The 24,034-nt window shown below is 42.2% G+C and overlaps 1 protein-coding gene and 2 long non-coding RNA genes across 8 annotated transcripts in view; 1 reads left to right on the forward strand and 2 right to left on the reverse strand.

Moving 5' to 3' along the window:
• The window catches only part of C10orf90 (chromosome 10 open reading frame 90), a 245,697-nt gene that overhangs the window by 164,516 nt on the left and 57,147 nt on the right, over window positions 1–24,034 (reverse strand). The gene's annotated exons all lie outside the window — the stretch shown is intronic.
• On the reverse strand, window positions 14,822–17,198 carry LOC124902523 (uncharacterized). Its single transcript, XR_007062335.1, has 2 exons — window positions 17,044–17,198; window positions 14,822–15,024 (listed from the first exon to the last, which is right to left on the reverse strand). It is a non-coding gene; the product is annotated as an uncharacterized LOC124902523 (long non-coding RNA).
• Window positions 17,337–21,060, forward strand: LOC105378548 (uncharacterized). 2 transcript variants are annotated; one of them, XR_001747638.2, is made up of 3 exons: window positions 17,337–18,275; window positions 20,026–20,107; window positions 20,979–21,060. It is a non-coding gene; the product is annotated as an uncharacterized LOC105378548 (long non-coding RNA). The 2 variants fall into 2 exon arrangements; XR_007062334.1 differs by having other exon boundaries at window positions 18,041–18,106.

The following is a 24,034-nucleotide window of genomic DNA, read 5'->3' on the forward strand; positions in this document are numbered from 1 at the left end:
AGAAACCCTACAAGCCAGAAGAGATTGAGGGTCAATATTCAACATTCTTAAAAGAAAGAATTTCCAAGCCAGAATTTCATATCCAGGCAAACTAAGATTCATAAGCAAAGGAGAAATAAGATACTTTTCAGACAAGCAAATGCTGAGGAAATTCATCATTACCAGGCCTGCCTTGTAAGAGCTCCTGAAGGAAGCACTAAATATGGAAAGGAAAAACCATTACTAGCCACTACAAAAACACACTGAAGTGCATAGACCAGTGACATAAAGCAACCACATAAACAAGTCTGCAAAATAACCAGCTAGCATCATGCTGACAGTATCAAATTCACATATAGCAATATTAACCTTAAGTGTAAATGGGCGAAATGCTCCAATTAAGACACAGAATGGCAAGATTGATCATAACCCATCATTATGCTGTCTTCAAAAAACCCATCTCACTTGCAAAAACACACACAGGCTCAATTTAAAGGGATGGAGGAAAATTTACCAAGAAAATGGAAAACAGAAAAAAGCAGGGGTTGCAATCCTAGTTTCTGACAAACCAGACTTCAAATCAACAAAGATCAAAAAAGACAAACAAGGGCGTTACATAATGGTAAAGTGTTCAACAAGAAGAGCTAACTGTTATAAATATATATGTACCCAACACAGGTGGACCCAGATTCATAAAGCAAGTTCTTACAGACCTACAAAGAGACTTAGACTCCCACACAATAATAGTGGGAGACTTTAACACCCCACTGACGATATTAGACAGATCACCAAGACAGAGAATTAGCAAAAATATTCAGGACCTGAACTCAGCTCTGGATCAAGCAGACCTAATAGATACCTGCAGAATTATCTGCCCCCAAGCAACAGAATATACATTCTTCTCATCACTGCATGGCACTTACTCTAAAACTGATCACTTAATTGGAAGTAAAACACTTTTTAGCAAATACAAAAGAACTGAAATCATTAACAGTCTCTCAGACCACAGAACAATAAAATTAGAACTTAATATTAAGAATCTCACTCAAAACCACACAACTGCATGGAAATTCAATAGCGTGCTCCTGAATGACTGCTGGGTAAATATTAAAATTAAGGCAGAAATCAAGAAACTCTTTGAAACTAATGAGAACAAAGAGACAACATACCAGAATCTCGGACACAGCAAACCAGTGTTAAGAGGCAAATTTATAGCACTAAATGGTCACACCAAAAAGCTAGAAAGATCTCAAATCAACAACCTAACATTACAACTAAAAGAACTAGAGAACCAAAAGCAAACAAACCCCATAATAAAAAAGAAAAGAGAGAAGAATCAAATAGACACAATCAGAAATGATAAGGGGAATATCACCACTGACCCCACAGAAATAAAAACAGCCATCAGAGAATGTTATAAATATCTATATGCACATAAACTAGAAAATCTAGAAGAAACAGATGCATTCCTGGACACATACACCCTCCCAAGACTGAACCAGAAAAAGACTGAATACCTGAATAGACCAATAATGATTTCTGAAATTAAAGCAGTAATCAATAGGCTACCAACCAAAAAAACAGCCCAGGACCAGATGGATTTACCACTGAATTCTACCAGAGGTACAAAGAAGAGCCGGTACCACTTCTACTGAAACTATTCCAATCAATTAAAAAGAAAGGACTCCTCACTAAGTCATGTTATGAGGCCAGCATCGTCCTGATACCAAAACCTGGCAGAGATACAACAAAAAAAGAAAACTTCAGGCCAATATCCCTGATGAACATGAATGTGAAAATCCTCAGTAAAATACTGGCAAACCAAATCCAGCAGCACGTCAAAAAGCTTATCGACCATAATCAAGTTGGCTTCATCTCTGCGATACAAGGTTGGTTCAATATATGCAAATCAATAAATGGAATTCATCACATAAACAGATCTAAAGACAAAAATCACATGGCTAACTCAATAGACATGGAAGAGGCCTTCAATAAAATTCAACATCCCTTCATGTTAAAAACTCTCAGCAGACTAGGTATTGAAGGAACATATCTCAAAATAATAAGAGCCATATATGACAAACCCACAGCCAGTATCATACTGAATGGGCAAAAGCTGGAAGCATTCCCCTTGAAAACCAGCATAAGACAAGGATGCCCTCTCTCACCACTTATATTCAACATAGTATTGGAAGTGCTGGCCAGGGAAATCAGGCAAGAGAAAAAAAATAAAGAGTATTTAAATAGGAAGACAGGAAATCAAATTATCTTTGTTTGCAGATGATATGATCCCGTATCTAGAAAATCCCATCATATCAGCCCAAAAGCCTCTTAAGCTGATAAGCAACTTTAGCAAAGTCTCAGGATACAAAATAAATGTGCAAAAACCACTAGCATTCCTATACACCAAAAACAGGCAAGCAGAGAGCCAAATCATGAATGAACTCCCATTCACAATTGCCAAAAGAGAATAAAATACCTAGGAATACAACTAACAAGGGAAGTAAAGGACCTCCTCAAGGAAAACTACAATCCCCTGCTCAAGGAAATCAGAGAGGACACAAACAAATGGAAAAACATTCCATGCTCATGAATAGGAAGAATCAATATCATGAAAATAGCCATACTGCCCAAAGTAATTTATAGATTCAATGCTATTCCCATTAAACTACCATTGACATTCTTCACAAAATTAGAAAAAACTATTTTAAAATTCATATGGAAACAAAAAAGAGCCCAAATAGCCAAGACAATTCTAAGCAAAAAGAAAAAGCTGGAGGCATCACACTACCCAACTTCAAACTATATAAGGCTACAGTAACCAAAACAGCATGGTACTGGTACAAAAACAGAGACATAGACCAATGGAACAGAATAGAAAACTCAGGAATAAGATCACACACCTAAAACCATCTGACCTTTGAAAACCTGACAAAAACAAGCAATGGGTAAAGGATTCCCTATTTAATAAATGGTGCTGGGAGAACTGGCTAGGCATGTGCAGAAAATTGAAACTGGACCCCTTCCTTACACCTTATACAAAAATTAACTCAAGTTGGATTAAAGACTTAAATGTAAAACCCTAAACTGTAAAAACCCTAGAAGAAAACCTAGGCAATACCATTCAGGACATAGGCAAGGGCAAAGATTTCATGGCAAAAACACCAAAAGCAATTGCAACAAAAGCAAAAATTGACAAATGGGATCTAATTAAACTAAAGAGCTTCTGTACAGCAAAAGAAACCATCAGCAGAGTGAACAGACAATGTACAGAATGGGAGAAAATTTTTGCAGTCTCTCCATCTGACAAAGGTCTAATATCCAGAGTCTACGAGGAACTTGTATTTACAAAAAAAGAAAAACAACCCCATTAAAAGTAGGCAAAGGATGTGAACAGACACTTCTCAAAAGAAGACATTCATGCAGCCAACAAACACATGAAAAAAAGCTCAACTTCACTGATCATTAGAAATGCACGTCAAGACCACAATAAGATACCATGTCATGCCAGTCAGAATGGTGATGATTAAGAAGTCAGGAAACAACAGATGCTGGCAAGGTTGCAGAGAAAAAGGAACACTTTTATGCTGTTGGTGACAAAGTAAATCAATTCAACCATTGTGGAAGACAATGTGGTGATTTCTCAAAGATCTAGAAGCGGAAATGCCATTTGACCCAGCAATCCTATTCCTGGATATATACCAAAAGGAATATGAATCATTCTATTATAAAGATACATGCACACATATGTTCACTGCGGCACTATCCACAATAGCAAAGACATGCATTCAATCCAAATACCCATCAGTGATAGAATGGATAAAGAAAATGTGGTGCATATACACAATAGAATACTATGCAGCCATAAAAAGAAACAAAATCATGTCCTTTGCAGGGACATGGATGGAGCTGGAAGCTGTTATTCTCAGCAAACTAACACAGGAACAGAAAACCAAATACCCCATGTTCTCACTTATTCAGTGGGAACTGAATGATGAGGACACATGAACACATGGATACATGGAGTGGGGAACAACACACATTGAGGACTGTCAAAGAGGCATGGGGGAGGGAGAACATCAGGAAGAATAGCTAATGGATGCTGGGCTTAATACCTAGGAGATGGGTTAATCTGTGCAGCAAACCACCATGGCACATGTTTATCTACGTAACAAACCTGCACATGTGCCCCAGAACTCAAAGTTGCAGGAAAAAAAATGAGGAAAAGAAAAAGAAAATTGTTTATTTCCTACCATACATTGTGTTCTCTGCTACCCTGTAGTTTTAAAAAGTTTTTGTTGTTGTTGTTGTTTCCAAACATTGTGCTTGGTGAGGAGTCAGGGGCTGAGGGTGTATCATATTTATGCTCCACAAACAGTATCCTAGGTCTTCCAGGCAGGATATCGTCTGCCATAATCCTGCATGGAGGGGCAGGAAAGACTGAAGATGGCCACATGGTAAAGGAGCCTCCACAAGGGAAAGAAAAAATGAACACCTAAAAGCAGGATCAGCCCAGGGAGGGAACTGCTCATGAAGTTCTAGAGCCACAGGAGTGAAAAAGGCCCATGTGTCCCCTGATAATCACATAGTTACCTAATTGCAGAAGACCAGGCTTGCTTTTTTTTTTTTTTTTTTAACCTAAAATGAAGTCAATCTCTATGTGCTAAAGTGAAGTGAAAACTTCCCTCTAGGCACATTCCTAAGTGATAAGAGCAAGCTGCAGGACGGTATGGCTAGAAAGATCTCATCTGCCAAGAAAACCAAAAAGGAGCAAAAATAGAGACAAATCGTGTGTCTGTGTGTGTGTCCATACATGATTGTGTGATATATATGTAAATACTCAGAGAAAGGACTAGAAGGAAATACATGAAAATGTTAGCAATAATCATCTCTGGGGAGGGAGTTTGGATTGGGAAGATGAGTGTGGACAGGGGACATCCTCCTGAGTTATGTGACTCACTTGCAGCAGTCAGCAAATGTTTCTGAATATTCACCTACACCAACCTCTGTTCTAGATGCTACATCCAGGGTGAACCAGCCCGTGAGGCAGCACCCTCCTGGTGACTGTATTCAGACAGAAGGATTGAATAAATAAATATATAAATAAGTAATTCAGGTATGAATAAATGCTGTGTACAGAACTAGAGAGTAACATGATTGGGAATGGTGCGTGGAGCTGGTGAAGTCCTCTCTGAGTAGCTGATGATGGTGAGGACGGAACTACAGCGGATTCAGAGCAAGAGCATTCCAGGCAAAGGGATCAGCCAGGGCAGAGGTCCTGAGACAGGAAGGGTTTGCTGTGTTCAAAAGACAGAAAGAGAAGGGATATGGCCAGCAAGTAGTGAACAGAGAGGAGGTGAAAAAAGAAGGGCACTAAGAGGCAGGTGTGAGACTTATTGGCATGCCCGTGGGTCTGGACTGTGTCCTCAGTGAAATGGGAAGGCCCTGGAGAGTCTTAAGGTGGAAGAGGAGAGACATGATCAGGTTCATGCTAAGAGAGACCACTCTACTTTAAAAGGTTTTTAAATAGAATTTAAGTTTTTCAAAGAAGCAAAATGTTGTACAGGAAACAGTGGCACCATAGCACTCTCCCATCTCAGAGCCAGTACTAAGGATTTCCAGAAGTCTTTAGCCTTGTTCTCAAACTCTGGATTCCAACTCTCACTGTGCAACCACTTGCACTTAACAGTTATTAGCTAGTTTGCAAGAATCCAGAGTCTTTGGAAACCCAAGCAGATCATGAGGATGTCAGGTCACATTTCAGAAAGTGGGGAAAAGAAATTCTAATTGATATCCATGAAGCTGACCTCTGCTCCACATTGACTGATAGGTTGGGCTTTTCCACTGAGATGCAGAATGTGCTTGCAGAGCCTTTGGACGACTGCCACCCCTCCTGACAAACTCATCTTTTATCTCCTCTGCAAGTGACAGCATCAGAAAAAGAGGATATAAATTATTTAGCTTTAAGTGTTACTCATTTTCAATGTTTAAAATGCTGAAAAGGCAAATTGCAAATAAGGGATTTTGTGGAATCTCCCGCAGCTCTCCACCAGAGGCTGTGTGGAGGTGGGGCAGAGGAAGGTGTGGTACTCTAGGAGGAGACCTGGCCTGCAGGTCCGGTTCTGGCATGGACTCACCTGCAAAACTACAACCTTCTCTGGGCCCCGTTCCCCCATCTTATAACTCAGAGACTAGACAGGATTCTAACATTGTTAGATGTGAAACTCTGTATTCAAATGAAACTTTATCTAAAGACCAATAAAGGCGAATATAGCAGTGGAGGAGCCCTGACTGGGATTGAGGAGCAGCTGGGGTCCACATCTCTAGCTCAGTACCCCACACCCCAATACATATCCCAGCCAGGTACCTCTTCTTGGGTGTCTGTGAGTCCTCAAGTTCAGGAGACTATGACATTTAGAAAAAAAATAAACCTCAGCCTGTACCTCACACCACACATGAAAATTAATTTGAAATGGGCCATAGACTTGAATGTTCAAGTTACAACTATAAAACTTATAGAATAAAACACAGGAGAAAATCTTTGTACCTTGGGGTAGGCACCGATTTGTCAGAATGCCAAAACTACTAACCATGAAAGAAAAAAGAAAATCAGCCTGGGCTACATAGTGAGACCCTATCTCTTATTTAAAAAAAAAAAAAAAAAAGCCAGGCATGGTAGCACACACCTGTAGTCTCAGCTACTCAGGGGGCTGAGGTTGGAGGAGCTCTTGAGCCCTGGAGGTCAAGGCTACAGTGAGCTGTGATTGCTCCACCGCACTCCAGCCTGGGTGACAGAGCAAATCCTTGTCTCAAAAAAAAGTAAAAGAAAAAATAATTGGACTTTGCCAAAATTAAAATCTTGTGCTCCTTGAAAGACACTTATTTAAAAAAAAAAAACAACAACAAACAAAAAGAAAAGCCACAGACCAGAAGCAAATATTTGCATTAAATATGTCTAGCAATAGACTTGTACCTGTTACATACGCTTCTTCACTTATGATGGGGTTACATCCTGACAAATCTATTGTAAGTTGAAAATATTCTAAGTCAAAAATGCATTTAATTCACCCAACCTAGCAAACATCAAAGCTTAGCCTAGCCTACTTTCAATGTACTCAGAACACTTACATTAGCCTACAGTTGTGCAGAGTCATCTGACACAAAGCCTATTTTATAGTAAAGTGGTGAATATCTCATGTAATTTATTGAATACTGTAGTAAAATTGAGAAACAGAATGGTTGTATGGGTACCCGAAGTATAGTTTCTATTGAATGTGTATCACTTTCACACCATTGTAAAGTTGAAAAATCACAAGTTGAACCATCATAAGTTGGGGACTGTCTGTATATAAATAACTCTTATAACTCAATATGACAACTCAATTTTGAGAAATGAGGTAAAGATTTAAATAGACACTTCATAAAGACATACAAATGACAAATAGGCACACAAAGAGATGTTCAACATCTTTAGTCATCAAGGAAATGCAAATTAAAACCACAATGAGATACCGTTAGTCACCTATTATAATGGCTTATACTAAAAATGCTGACAATATCAAGTGTTGCTGAAAATACGGAGAAATCTCAACTTTTGTATATTGCTGTTGGGAATGTGAAGTAATACAGTTCACTTTGGAATACTGTTTGGCAATTTCTTATAAAGTTAAATATATGTTTACATGTAACCCAGCAAACCCACTCCTACAGATTTCTACCCAAAAAGAAATGAAAGCATATGTCCACAAAAAGACTTGTATGAGAATGTTCATAACTGCATGATCACATTGGTGGTACATCCATGTAATGGAGAGTAGTACTCAGCAATAGAAAGGAATGAATGGATATTCCAGGCAGAGGGGACATGTGTTCATCAGCCTAGAGGCGAGATAGCACATGGTGTGCTTGAGGAGCTGCGTGATTGGGGCAGGGCAAGTGGAGAGGAGGTTGGAACCAAATGCCACAGAGCCCTGTGAATCATGCTAATGAGCCTGGATTTGTTCCAAGGGCAAGAAAAACTGATGCAGCAGATGAACTTAATCAGCTTTGCATTTTAAAAAGACAATTGGATGCTGGCAATAGAATGAACAGTAAAAGGACAAGAGTAGAAGCTGAGAGACCAAATGGGAGACCAACAAGTGATGATCATGGCTGGGGTCAGGATGGCGATGATGGATAGAACTGGGTGCATTTGGGAGAGCTTTAAGAGATCACATCAAAAAAATTTAATGAATGACTAGATTTGGAGAAATTATTCTACTCATCCCTATTAAATTTCATCTTCTTAGTTTCCACCCTTCATTTTAGATTCTGTCACTCAGGCCATAAGCAATTCCTTACAAATATGATTAGTGTCTATGTGTGTCATCTGAGCCATTGCTACAAATATGGAAACAAGATAAGATGCATTAAGGGACAAGAGACTCCCCTACCCATTTCCAGGTTGACTTGGAGCAATGCTTTTCACTCTACCAGCTATGAATATACCTAGCCCATGTTTTTCCACCCTCCCCACAAGGATATCATAAGACCTGGCCAAATGCCTCGTGGGCATCCAGATACCCTATTTCAATGGCATTCCTCTGAACTGCTGCTTTGGTAAGTATATCAGAAAAGGAAGAAGGCTAACATGACCCACCCTTCTGCAAACTGTCCTAGGGATCTCAATAGCCTTGCTTATGGTCCTTGCTCATTGCTGCCCACCAGTGGCAGAGCTGGTCCCATACACAGGATGCTGCGCACTACCCACTCCTGGCCCTTCTCCAGCAGCTGTAGGACTGGGTAACAGGTCTAGCAGGGCTAGCCTTTGGCCCTCCTAAGCAATGTGTTACAAACTCAGGTGAATAATTATGTCTGGCATGCTTCTCGTGGAAGAGAAAAAGAAACAGCAAATATCCTCTTGACATCTTTTTTTTTTAACATCCTATATGATGCCCATATGAGAATTAATATCTTTGAGCACCAAATCCACAGAAGGTAGATGTCTGGAACAAAATCTGCCTTGCCTTCCAGCTATGCCACCCCACAGGTTATGATTTAAGCATCCATAACACCAATACAGCTTCAGCTTGTGGTCTCTTCAGCTCTTACACATTTTCGGTGTCTTCCTCTATCAGATCTGTAATTAAGCTACTCTTGGAGTACACCGTTTCACTTGCAGTTGGTGTGTGAGCTGCTCTTTAGGAAGGAAGCAATCATCAACTCACGGGTAAGCTTATTCAGTGGTGGCATTTCTAAGCTGATTTAAGCAGTCTGTCAAAACTGAGGGAAATTAATGAGTTTACTAGGGAATATTCCCATCTCTGGCATTGGGGTAAGGAGGGGAAAGGAATGGATGAAAACTAGGGAGTCAGGCTGACTGTGCTTTTTTCTTTCCTTTTTTCGTCCTTCTTTCCTACCTTCCAATTAAATAATGAAGGCTTAGCTGCTTCTTGATGATCTATAATTCAGCTTTGCTCTATATTCAAAACAAATCTTCACATGTACATGTTGGCAAACTTCTCATTGCTATTTTGTTGACAATAACAGAGAAACTTGAGGATATTTCTGTTGGAGACACCAGGCTTCAGCATCAGCCCGTCTGACATTTCCCAGATCTTGGCTTTTTCAGGCAAGGTCTCCTCTGCACACCAAGTAGACCTCTCTTTGCACTACAGAGATAAGAATGCCAGGCCTCATTGGGTTCCACTCCTTTTTTTTTTTTTTTTTTTTGAGACGGAGTTTCGCTCTGTCACCCAGGCTGGAGTGCAGTGGCGGGGATCTCAGCTTACTGCAAGCTTCGCCTCCCGGGTTCACGCCATTCTCCTGCCTCAGCCTTCCGAGTAGCTGGGACTACAGGCGCCTGCCACTGCGCCCGGCTAATTTTTTGTATTTTTTTTTTCTTTTTTTTAAGTAGAGATGGGGTTTCACCGTGTTAGCCAGGATGGTCTCAATCTCCTGACCTCGTGATCCACCTGCCTCGGCCTCCCAAAGTGCTGGATTCCACTCTTAAAGACAAGGCTGGGATCAGCTCCAGGAGCCATTCAATTGATGGAAAGGCAGAGCATTAGGAAGGATCGGAAGACAGAGGCTGCATGGGGCCCCATGCATCCTCAGAGATGTGAGGGCTGATCGCCACCCTCTGGCTGCCCCTAAGCTTGGTAGAGTTTTAGGTGCTTCATTTATAGCTGCCTACACAATTAAAGGTGGATTAGAAACCTGGTAATAGGGGATTAGGGCACTAATCCCCTTCCAATTGTTAATATTAATTAAAGTGCTTTTTTCTCTTATTATTTAACAAACACTAACTACTTCATTAAAAAGAGGAAAGAGAGAATATAGTTTGGTAGGGTAATATCTGGATTACTTTTTCCATCCAGGAAAGCACTGGTGCGTTTTCACTTCCAGAGCATAAACTGTAATAAATGTGAAACACAAAAAGGAAGAAGAGAGTATCTTTTGCTTTCCACCAATTAATCAGTCAGAAAGTGTTTCAATTTTAAGATGTAAATGTCTATCTTTTCCCCCAACAATTTTCTTATTGGCCACTGTAGTCCAATTATTTCGATTAAAGCAGAGAGGGCTCAGTTAATGAGAAGCAGGTTTCCACAGTGTGTGTGTGCATGCTTGTGTGCGTGCATGCGTGTGCACGCAGGTGTGTGCATCGCATGTGTGTGCACAAGTGTGTGCGTATCGCATGTGTGTGCACACGTGTGTGTGCATCGCATGTGTGTGCAGGCAGGTGACTTTCCTTACGGTCCAGACGGCCAGCAGGAAGTCAGCTCACCGGCGTTGGCATGCGGAGTGCAGACTGCCAAAGCTGTGCAGGTTTGGCCGTCCCTGGGAGACGCTACAGAAAATCTCCAGGGCAATATTATTATCTTCTCTTGTGGCCATTGGATGAAAACAGTCACTGAGCCCTGTTGTGTGCAGAAACCTGTGCCTGCCATGTGCAGGGAGGAGATATGAGAAACAAAAGCCAGATGTGGTGAGGACCTCATGGGCGCACACATGACAACCAAAGCCAATCAAATGCAAATGAGCAAAAGCCAACTGCCTGCAGAGAGTCAGGAGACACCAAGCAGGGATGAGAAACCCCCTCACCCCAGCTTGGGAAAATCCATCTCATTAATGCTCTGAATTTAAAAGTAAACAGAAGATATCTACGTCCTCCTCTGTGCTCAAACCAGAAAATTGATACGATGTATTACAGTCCCAGCTACACATAAAAGACTGAATGTGTGTGTGTGTTTCTTAGGCGTGTGTGTGTGTGCATGTGTATGTGTGTGTGTTTCCTCAGGCATCTGTTTAAATGCAGTATCTTACCTTAATTGAGGGACACTGAGGATCCAGGAATCCCTCTTCTGGGTCTTACCCAAAAGGAGATGAAATAACCGCCTTGTAAAGGTATCCACACTCTCCAGTCCCTGGCAGTACTATTTACAGTAGCCAAGATATGGAAACAGCCCAAATGTCCATTGACAGATGAATGGATCAAGAAAATATGGCATCTGTACTGTGTATACAATGGAGTATTATTCAGCCTTTAAAAAGAAGGATATTGTGTCATTTGCTACAACACAGACAGGCTTGGAGGACATCATGCTAAGTGAAATAAAGCCCACACAGAAAGAAAAATACTGCTTATCTCACTTAGATGTGGAATTTTTTTAAAGGTCAAATGTACAGAGATAGAACAGAAAGCCCCCGGGTCACCAGGGGTAGGGGCTGAGGGTGGGGAGATGTAGGTTAAAGGATACAAACCAGCACATGTGTGGGATGAACAAGGCCAGAGATCAAATGTACAACATGAGGACTCTAGGTAATCAAATGTATTTGAAATTGTTCCTAAATAAGTAGATTGTAACTGCTCTTGCCCCCAAAAAGTAACTATGTGTATGGTAAATATGTTAATTTACTTAACTATAGAAGCCATTTTAGTATCTATGTGTCTCCCATGACATCATGTTATAAATCTCAAATATACACAATAACATTTATTTTTTTAAAAAGGTGACACAGGGACTGTGCTTTACTTACCTTCACTTTCCCCAAAGCATCTTATATGAACTTGACCTCAAACAAGCCATATTTCTAGTTTCTTGCCATTTTGGTACATTTATATACACCAATTATTTGATTGATACAGCTTTTTAAATATTTAAATAGTATAAAGTGATTTTTCTAATTATACCCTAGAATTCAGAGGCTGACTAAAGTTTCATGCTCCAAGGTTCCTACCACACAAACTCTTTCCTGGACCCAGAATAACCAGCAAGTAGCCCTCCTAAAGAATAGCGGGGACCCCGCCAAAGCCACTGAGGCCTGGATGCCGGTGGAGGGAGAGGCTTGCCTGTCATTGCCCTGGGGCGTGCCCTGCCTGTGCTTGCCCACTTGCCTCCAGGGAGCAGGAAAACCCCCTAAGACATTCTTATACGCTAACCTCGCTCTCGTTTATAGCTAGTCTCAGATCTAAATGCTGCGACTGTCCTAAAGATGAATAAACAGCATGCAAGTACCCTACGTTAGGAAAAGCAGGGGATGGTCCAACAGCCATCTTTCACGTTGCTATGTAAACGTTCGCTTCAAAGCTGGCCCCTCTTACATGAGCGCACAGTCTGTCCCTCCCAATGAGGCCCACAGATCCAGCTCCAGGAAAACTGTCCTCTCAATTGCTGGTATTTAAGGACAAGCCCTTCTGATGAATCACATCTCTAAGCGAGCTATTATACTGTAATCCTAATCACCTCTTCCTAAGCTTTGAGCTACAATAGGGTTGCTGGATGCACTGAACACCCGTCTTGACAAATAAGCAGCTATGAGTAAAATCATGATAATAGTAATGAAAGCTACTGTTTAGCCAGAAGTTTCTCTGACCTGGGCCTCTAGCTTACTTGGAATATAATATCTCATGCCTATACAGTGAGGTAGGTACTTGCTGAGATATAGCAAGGGTAAGAAACCCTCCAAGATGACCTAGGTGTGAAGGGACTTGGTATCAATCATAACAGGGTGGTTCCACTGTGGAACTCCTGACCCTGAATATTCCCTGGTGGGCACACAGCCTGGGCTCAGGAGCACACAACCCTTTAAAGGTGGGAGCAGCACCTGTTTACACTCAGAGCAGGGCCATTTTCCTGGTTTGGACAGAGCCCATAACCACACGAGTGCTTTGAATATGATCTGTAAGCTCATTTGCTCTGATAGTAGAGGCAATTTAACCCCTCAAAAAGCAAGATGGGTCTTATAAGGGATGCTGTATCATAGTGTCATTGGCAGGGTTTTGGGCTTTTTTTTTTTTTTTTGGTCTTTCTGAGCTCTGCATAAAATAATGGAGAATCTTACAATCAGTGGGTCTTGGATTCCATGAAATGTGGTCATGTCTATTCATCCTCTTGTTGAAATACATTCCAAAGGGCAGTTTTCAAAAATCAGAATATGAGTAATGCAGCACCTGCAGATTGGCAACTCGGAGAGAGGGACAGAGTTGGGGAGAAGGGAGAGAGAGAGAGAGACAGAGTGAGAGAGACAGACAGAGGGAAGCAGAGAGAAGGAGGGAGGAGAGAGGGAGTGGACAGGTGCGGTGGGGGAGGGGATGATGCCTTGCATTAGTCACATTTGGACATCAGAAGAGAGTTCCAGTCTGGAGGTGGAGCTGGAAGTCATCTGTATTAGTCCGTTCTCACGCTGCTAATAAAGACACATCTGAGATGAGGTACTTTATAGTAAGAGGTTTAATTGACTCACAACCCCTTAGGGCTGGGGAGGCCTCAGGAAACTTACAATCATGGCAGAAGGCGAAGCAAACATGTCCTTCTTCACGTGGCGGCATCAAGGAGAAGTGCTGAGCAAAAGCGGGAAAAGCCCCTTATAAAACCATCAGACCTTGTGAGAACTCACTATCACAAGAAGAGCAGCATGGGGGTAACCGCCCCCATGATTCAATTACCTCCCACCAGGTCCCTCCCATAACATGTGGGGATTATGGGAATTACAATTCAAGATGAGATTTGGTGGGGACACAGCCAAACCATATCATCATGCATGTCATCCGATGTTGTGGATAAAACAATATACCTGAGTTTCACCCCTGGCTGCCCTGATTGCTAGCTGTGTGAACTTAGGTGAGCTGCTGAAGCCCTCTGTGCCTCAGTTTCCTTAACTGTAAAAGGGCCCTAAGAGTTGTGCCTGCCTCCCAGGTTGATGTGAAGGCGAAGTGTGATAATTCATATAAGGTGCTGAAAACAGCTCCTGGCCCTCAGTTCTTAGGTGATAGGGAACCTCTGTCTATGAAAGGGTTCTTATATACCTCCCAGGCCGAAAAGGCCTCACAGTGGTGTGGTTGAATCAATACAAACATTAGAATGGGGGAAGCATCTGCTGCGTGACAAGACGAGCCATATGCAGAGGGAGGAGCCCATCAAGGCCAGCTTGACAGGAGATTGCTTCACCGCAAATCCAGAGGCCCTCCCCTTCGACTCAAAGGTTGCAAAGAGGTACTCAAGCTCGTCAAAAGTGGCTGAGCTCGAAGCCTGGAGTTGAAATTAGGTGGGACAAGCTTGAGCGGAAGGGATGGTTGTGTTCACTGAACCCAAAGTGTGGCTTTTCCTGCATGCAGTTCCTGCCCGGAGGCTTCCCTTCCACCCACCTTGACAGGATGATTCCCGCATCAAGGCTGGGCTCCATCCAGAAACACAGATTCGGAGAAGCCATCTGACCTCTCGGCCTTGCTCGGGTAGCAGTCTGTCCTGGTCTTCTGCCGGACTCATTCTCAGTCCCTGAGTAAAACTGAGCCCAGGGGAAACCAGCATCACCTGGGCATCACCCAGAAGCCCTCACAAAGCAACAACCATCACCAAAAAAATGCCTGCAGGTAATTTATTTTGCCTGAATTGTTTGGCTATCTTGATTCCTCATTTTCTTTCTCAGACTTGATCCTCAGTTGAAAGAAAAAAAATACACCATATATATGCACTTTTTTAAAAGGTAGAGAGAAATTGCTTTAGCAAAAAGTCCTCAGCCTTCAGGGAGAAGCTCAGCTCTGCTATTCAAGGCAGGAAAGATAATCTGTAAGACACAGAAATGCAAATGTGGACGTGGTCTCTTCCCCTCTCGCCAGACCCCCAGCAAAGTTAATTTGGGGATTCTTTCCCCCTCAGGAGCCATAGAGTGAGACAATTTGTTTTTACCACATCTCTCCACATCCAAAGGGTCAGAAAGGCTGAGATTCTGATAAGAAACACAGATGTCACTGAGGTAACAATTTAGCTACACTTCTCTGCAAGTTCCACCAAGCTTGAATTTCTTTAGCTACATGGATCCATTTTAATAAGAGCTGACAATTTAATCAGGTAAGATAAGGCCCATTTTCATAATAGGGCACAAGAGGTATATGCATATCCATTTTTCCATTAATGGATCTTGGGATTTGGTCATGTAGTCCCTGCATAAAATGTAGACATTTCACTCCACCATGCTCTTTTGATCCCGTGCCACCCCAGGAAAGCTCAGAAAAGAAAAGCCAAAACTAGCCACAGAAGATACATGGTAATGAAATGGATTGCACACATTCAAAGAACTCGATTTTCAAATGAATGTTACTTCATGTCTTCAGTCACACTAATCATTTAATGGCCATTTTAAACTTACAACTAAGAAATAAAAACTTTATTCTGAAAAATGGCTTCATATTTATTCTAAGTAGAGCCAGAATTTGGGCCAGCAAGTCATGAATATGAATGACCGTAAATGCCCTCAGAGGGGCGTGTGCTTTGGTGCGCCAAGCCAAAGGAAAGATGGAAGCAGGAAGGGATTTCTCTGACTCCAGCGCTCTCCTCTCCCGACCCCAATGCAAGCACAGGGCCCTCGTCTGAGATGCACAGCTACAGGCCTGTGGGGAGCAGGCAGGGGCCAAAGCCCTGCCAGGTGCAAAAGGAGACTTAGTTTCCCTCTGGGGCTTGTTGTGGAGGACCCTGGAGAGGTCCCTCTACTCCTGCAGGACAACTGCTCCTTGGAGAGGCCCCTGCGCCCCTGCATGGGAAGAGCCTGTGGAAGTGGTCCTGGCAAGACATCCAGGAGAGGAGAAAAGATGTGTTGAATCCTCGCAGCTCCTAGCCCCTAGCTCTGCAGAGAATGTGGATCCAGCCTTTTTAGCCAAGGAGAAAAGGAGGTTCCAAGGTCTCCCGCTGGTGCCGTGAAGATAACTGCACTGAGAGATGGAGCCTGCCAGGCTGCCTGCCAGGTGTGGCATTGCTGCCTCCAGAACCCACCTGGACTCTAGCAATGACTAGAGCTTAGGATTAGGGAACTCAACAGCCCAAGAGTGGAGGAACAACCAGAGACCTGGAAAAGGCATGTCATGACATGGAACTGCTAAAAGATACAAAGGAAAACCTAAAAATACATACATGCATACATACATACATACATACATACATACATACATTTGATTGCAGCACTAAAAAAAGAAAAGACTGTCTGAAATATGATCCTTAAATTTAACAATTTCATCTGTGAATTGAAGGAGACCACTTTTGAGATTCAAATTAGTAGCCTTGAAATTAAATAGAAGAAATAGCTAAGCCACAGAGCAGCAATTCAGAGGCAATGCAGTTTCATGCTACAGCATGAGAAGGCTGTCCCACTGCACCCTGGGAACCCAGGCATTCTCAAGGGCTCTGCCCACAGTCCATGAAGCAACTTCCAAGACAATACCCTCAGGAATTGTACTGATGCATTAATTAAACGAATGATTATGTCCTTGGAGATGTGAAATGATATTAAAGAGATGAATAATGTCACCCTTGTAGGTTATAATCAGTATGATAAATGATTTGGGTTTCAAAACACATGGCAGAGAAAACGATTATGGCTCATTGCCCTGACACCATCGGCTGTTGGTCAGTTCTGGTTCTTACGAGGGGCTGTTGGGCTACTGCACATTGGCTATGATCCATGAACATCTGATTTATCTTTCCCTTTGAATAAGAATGAAGATACTATAAGTCGTTTATGCCATTTCTCGAAGTTATCCGGTGTGGGCTCTCCAACACTGACTTTCATGGAAAGTCAAAACAGTGAGCTCACCGCGGACAAACAGAAAAGGTACAGGCATTCCATCTGCTGGAGTCCCACCTCCGAGGAACTTTGAGCAGCTCTGATGATTTGCTGTTAGGATTAGGATTTGCAGCATTAGAATCCTTTTAGAAATGGGGAGTGGGGCCCCGGATGAAAGTAGAACTACGACTGGTTTGGCTCCTGATTGAATGAAGTTCAATCATTTCCATAACGTAGCTGCTTTTGTTGGGGTATTTTGGACTATTCACACAAATGCTGTGGATTATTCCTGCATTGCTGGACCTGAACATAACCAGGAACCAGTCATTAGATGTAACTGATGATCCTCATGACATCAGACAATAGCCATCAGAAGAGTCATGGCAATGACCCATAAGCCTTAAAGAGAAAACTGCTAAAAGTAGGCATCTCTTAAAACTGTCATTCTCAAAAGATAGGGATTTCCATGATCCTTAAGAACTGAAATTATTTCTGTAATATTATCAAGTTGTGATTTGCCTTTGCCATGGAGTTACCATTTGCACAGATGGGTGCGGAAGTCATGATGGGTGAAGCAGCTGGCTCCATAACATGAATGAAGGCAGGGGCGCCCAACTCTGCTATCAGTCATCACACTCTTTAACACAGTATTACTTATACACTTAAACAACAATGTTCCTGAGGAAGCCAGGAAAAGTGTTTTATTATATAGCTACCATTGAGTACCCTTCATTTTAATACCCTGCATAACAAAATGGGAAACTCACATTAGCTGTGATGCGTTGGCTGTGTTGAAAATCATTTGTACAATTGTTACTCATTGTAGTTGCAAATCTAACTAGCCACTGTTTTCATGAAACACCACTTTAACTTGAAAGAAATACTAACAAACTATGGTTTCTCAGGCATGAGTATTTGGCAGACATTTTTTCATGATGAACACAATGAGCCTGTCACTTTAAGGAAAACAACTGATAATATGGGTTATCAATGATCAAATTTGAATTTTAAATTAGAATTTTGAGAACTTCTGCGTGCCTCCTTTATCCTGACAGATTCTCAATAATTAGGGACTTTTCTGACGAGTTCAGTGGTAATATCAATGAATTCTTTTCATATTGTAAAATAAAATGTACCAATATTTAGAAGATGGGTATAACTCAAAGAATCAATATTTTCCAAATAACCAGTGCAGGATGTTATAAAATCATACATGGATAAAAGATCCATCCAAAGTATTAGATCCATCAATGAATTTTAAGGTAACAAAGTCAGAGTTTACTCATACGGTTTCATATTCACCTCATAACTTTTAAGAAAGTATTACATGTCTATTATGTTACAGGAAATAAGCCAGTCCCAAAAGGACAAATACCGTATGATTCCACTTACATGAAGTACTTAGAATAGTGAAAATCATGAGATAGAAAGTCAAATGGTGGTTGCCAGGCGTCAGGGGAAAGAGGGAATGGGGAATTGTTTCATGAATGTAGAGTTTTAGTTTTCCAAGACGAAACGAGTTCAGTTCTGAGGATAGATGGTGGTCAATGTTGCACAACATTATGAACTTATTTATGTATTTATTTACTTGTATTCTTTTGGACACAGGGTCTTGCTCTGTTGCCCAAGCTGGAGTGCAGTGGTGCCATCAGGGCTCACTGCAGCCTGGACCTCCTGGGCTCAAGCGATCCTCCGATCTCAGCCTCCCAAATAGCTAGGACTACAGGCACACACTACCATGCCTGGGTAATTTTGTTTAATTTTTTTGTAGAGAAGAGGTCTCACTATGTTGCCCAGGCTGGTCTCAAACTCCTGGACTCAAGCGATCTTCCCTCCTCAGCCTCCCAAAGTGCTGGGATTACAGGCTTGAGCCACCATGCCTAGCCTGAATGTATTTAATATCACTGAACTGTTCACTTAAAAATGGTTAACATGTTATATTTTACGATATATGCACTTAACCACAAAATAAAATGAAAAAAGAAAATTCCACTCGTTTTGGTGTAGTATCAAGGAACAATATCCACAATTATCTGAAAAAGCTATTAAACTATTTCTCCTTTTCCAGCTACATACCTGAGTGATGTCTGATTTTCTTCATATATTTCAATCCAGACAGCACATCACAATGGATTATATGCAGAAGCAGATATGAAATCCAGCTGTTTTCATTAATCCAGACATCACAGAGATGTGTAGAAATGTAAAACAATGCCAGGCTTCTCATACTGTTTTTGTTAGAAAATTATAGTTATTTTTTAATAAAAATAATCCTATTTATGTCAACATTTAATGGATTTACTATTGTTATTTTAAATGAGTCAACAAACTAATACTTCGATTTTTCCCCAGTTTTAATTTGTAGTTCAGCACATATGGGTAGAGGCAGCCTATGTAAACAAAAACTCTTCGGGGCCTCCAATAATTTTAAAGAGTATATAGGAGTTCTGACCAAAAACTTAGAAACCCACTGGCTTAAAAATTCTGTCCCTGCCACTTACAAGCTGTATGGCCTTGGGCAAGAGATTTCATCCTTTCCTGCCTCAGTTTATCCAGTTGTAAAAGGAGGTAATATGAAATAAGGTATGTGAATCAGGCCAGGCGTGGTGGCTCACGCCTGTAATCCCAGCACTTTGGGAGGCCAAGGTGGGCAGATCACCTGAGGTCAGGAGTTTAAGACCAGCTTGGCCAACATGATGAAACCCCGTCTCTGTTAAAAATACAAAAATTAGCCAGGCATGGTGGTGGGCATCTGTAATCTCAGCTACTCAGGATGCTGAGGCAAGAGAATCACTTGAACCTAGGAGGCAGAGGTTGCAGTGAGCCGAGATCGCGCCATTGCACTCCAGCCTGGGCAAAAAGAGTGAAACTCCATCTCAAAAAACAAAAAAGGTATGTGAATCATTTCATGCAACACCTGGTCCCTAGTAAGCCCTCAATGATGCTGGCTGTCACTGCTTTCTCAGTCCCTGTTTGTTGAGTATCTAATTGCCAGTGCTTATCTATCAACAGGTACTGGGGAAACAAAGCAAAACAGACAAATTGCGGTGCTCAGGTTCTGCCAAGGGCAGCAGACAGTGAACCACATGAAGAAGTAAGTTGGCAAGGGTGCATGATGGGGTTGAGCATTGTGGGAGAAGAGGGACAGGAGGGCCTTAGGAGCAGTGGCTTAGAGCAGGGAGAAGGAGCCTGTGAATGACACAATAGGAGGCAAGGGAGCCAGCCAGATGCTGCACGGGATGCCAGTGATGGCCCACGTGGCTCTGCATGGGCAGGGGGACTGTGGGTTTGTTCTGAGAGAGCTGTGAGGCATGGGAGATGCTGAGCAAGGGTGTGATGTGATCTGACTCCCAGTGTAATGAGATCAGGAGGATATGCATCTCCCCAGAATTGTTCTTCTTGCCTGGGTAGACCTATTAAGGCCGCTCACATTGGACCTGTACCTGGAGCCTTCCCAGGAGCCTCCAGGCAGAACACATCACCCCTCTGTCAGCTCCTCCAGGGGCCCTCAGGATCATGAGTGTCTGGGTTAGCTGTGTATCCCTGTGCCCTTGGACCCCTGTTCTCTGGTGGACCCCTCTCCATCTCTCTAGATCCACTTCATCCTTCACAGGCTGACCTGCATGGACCATGTCCACAGGGCTCCCTGGCCTCTGGCTTCTAGGGGGTTCACCCAAGGGGACCACAGTAGAATATAGGATGAAGGGCAGTTGGGGTGTTTAATCCCCTGGCTCTGCCTGGTGGGCCCTTTATGGGCTGGCTCAGTCCAATTCCTACAGGCAACTCCTCCTGACCCTCTACCGTCTATAACCTGGCCTCCCCTGTCCACCTCCAGCAGGACTGCAAAGGGCTCAGACAGGAGCCCCAGGGCTCTGCAGTTTTCCCTGCCCACATCTCATAAATGGTTCCATTTGCAAATTCTCCTAAAACTACCTAATTGGAGTGTGTTCTCTGTCTCCTTCCAGGCCTCCAACTAATGGACTACCATAGATCCAATGCCTCAGATGCAGATAACACTCTGGGAAGGCAGACACCACCTCTCTCCTGCACTCTGCCATTCTCCAGGATTGGGAAGGATTCTGGGCACACAGTAGGCATTTATTAAATATTCATTGGATGAATAAATGATAAATGAATATTCATTATCATTCTCTCCACATATTAAATCAAATGCTTCAAAACACTTTAGAATGGAAATTAATTGCCTCCCTTAGTCATTATTTTTATCTATAGCTATCATCAAACCTTCACCCACTCAGAGTTAATAATTGAAAAACAGACACATAACAAGTTAGCAGAGAGGAGAGCTCAAATGAAGCCCCATCTGAAAACCTCACCTACAGGCCACACTCCCCAGACACAACTTCTTGTAACTGGAGGTGGGGTGGGAGTCTCTATATTCTATTTTTCTTTCTTTTTTTGTCTTTTATTTATGTTTTTTGACATAATAGTTTGATTGAGATGTACTTGTTATGCAACACAATTCACCCATTTGAAGTGTATAAATCAATGGTTTTTAAGTATATTCTCGGAGTTGTTAAACCATCACTACTACCTAGTTTTAGAACATTTTCATCACCCCAGAAAGAAATCCTGTACCCAATGGCAGCCACTCCCTCCCTATCCCCCTCAGCCACCTTACTGTAAGCCAACACTCATCTACTTTCTGGCTCTATGGGTTTCCCTATTCTGGACATTTCGTATAAATGGATTACAAAATGTATTGTCCCTAGTGTCGGACTTCTTTCCTTCCCTTAGCATAATGTACTCAAGATTCATCCATGTAGTAATATGTGCCAGGACTTCATTCCTTTTTATTGCCGGATAATATTCTGTTGTATAGATGGACCACATTTTATTGATCCGTTTATCAGTTGATGGACATTTGAGCTGTTCCCATTTTTTGGCTATTAGGAGTAATGCTGCTATTTGGAACATTTGTGTACAAGTTTTATGTGAACATATGTTTTTGTTTCTCTTGGATGGAGTTGCCAGGTCATATGGTAATTCTACATTTAACCTTTGGAGGAGCTGCCAGATTATTTTCCAAGGCAGCTGCACTATTTTACATTTCCACCAGCAGTGTATGAGGATTTTAACTTCTTCAAACTCTTGTCAGCAAATATTATTATTATTAAATTTTGGTTCCACACTCATTCTTAAATTTCCCAGAAGAGGGGATTTTTGTTGCAGGTGGCTTCTATCTAAACTCCTTATTGCAGTGGCCAGAGATTTAAGGTGCTCTTGAACTGCTTCCTCAGCCTCTCACCATTTCTGGGGTTCTCTCTGGGCTCCAAGGGTACACAGTAGTTGGGTCCCAAGTGGTGCATAGAGAGTACAAACAAATTCACAATGGCACAAATCCCACATGCTCTAGACCTATCCTGTCCAATATGGTAACCACTAACCATGTGTGACTATTAAACTTTAAATTTATTTTAAATTTTAATTAAAATGAAATTCAACATTCAGTGGTTCAATCACATTAGTCATATTTCAAGTGCTCAAGAGTCGGCCAGACGCTGTGGCTCACGCCTATAATCCCAGCACTTTGGGAGGCTGCGGCGGACAGATCACTTGAAGTCAGGAGTTTAAGACCAGCCTGACCAACATGGTGAAACCCTGTCTCTAATAAAAATACAAAAATTAGCTGCGCATGGAGGCGCGCACCTGTAATCCCAGCTACTCGGGTGGCTGAGGCAGGAGAATTGCTTGAACTTGGGATGTGGAGGTTGCAGTGAGCCGAGATCACACCACCACACTCCAGCCTGGGTGACAAAGTGAGACTGTGTCTTAAATAAAAAAAAAAATCAAGTGCTCAAAAGTCACATGCAGCCAGTGGCTACCACATTGGACAGTACAGATCTAACACATTTCCATCATTGTAGAAAGTTCTATTGGATGGCATGAAAGGAGGAAAGATAAAAGGCCCTACACGTGGCCACCCTGTGAGAGACGCTAATCAGAGTGGCTTTGTCTCCAGACCCCCTCCGCTGAGGTACCCCATCACCCATGGCCCATTTTGCCAGCCATCTGAAGAGGTTTGGAATTCTTAGGGATGCCAGATAAAAGGGTGTCTTTTTTATGTAGAAAAGCACAAAGTTAGGCCTCAAGCTCTCTCAGGTGGACTATCGTGTTTTCCAATCAGTTCAAGAACATGTAAGCTATGATTTCCACTCCTCGGGGTTCAACTACCCAAACCTGGATGTCTCAGATGAGAAATATTAAATATCTAAAATGGTCTATTTCTGAAAACTCTTCTGTGAAGGATTGCCAACATTTACGTGTTTCTAAAAAAAGAAGTTGCTGCATATGAGCTGTTAAAAATTAGCGGCCAATTAATACTTTTCAGCTTCCAGCCTGTTAGAAATGTTATGCAAGTCATTTATAGGAAAAATGCTCGCCCTCGCAGCTCCAACGGCATGTTACATACTAAAGCAGAGTTGGTCTTGAATTCTGGGGGCTGATGTCTCGTGAGGCATTCAAATGTTGGATTTTACGCACCTTTGAATATAATTATTATTAATATTCAAGCAGTATATTCATTTATACCTTGAAAGGGAGGCAAATACCTCTTACAATTTGTATATGATATTAAAGGGCTCTAGACTTATCTCTAAAATTACAATACTGTATTTTGCCACAAGTTAAATGGTATTCAAAGACCAAAGCTACAGGTGACCATTTTCTTTTATTTTGGTTTTGTTTTTGTTTTTTTGAGACAGGGTCTCCTCTGTCTCCTCTCTCCACCTAGGTTGGAGTGCAGTGGCATGATCTTGGCCCACCGGAGGCTTGACCTCCTGGCATCAAGCAATCCTCCCCCACCTCAGTCTCCTGAGCAGTTGGGACTACAGACATGTGCCACCATACCCAGCTAGTCTTTTTGTTTCTTTCTTTTTCTGTAGAGACAAGGTCTGACTATATTGCCCAGGCTTGTCTCAAACTCCTGGCCTCAAGCAATCCTCCCACCTGGGCCTCCCAAAGTGCTGGGATTACAGGCATGAGCCACCATGCCCGGCCT

The sequence above is a fragment of the Homo sapiens genome, chromosome 10 (assembly GCF_000001405.40).
Source record: "Homo sapiens chromosome 10, GRCh38.p14 Primary Assembly".
In the NCBI taxonomy this organism is placed as follows: Eukaryota; Metazoa; Chordata; class Mammalia; order Primates; family Hominidae; genus Homo; species Homo sapiens.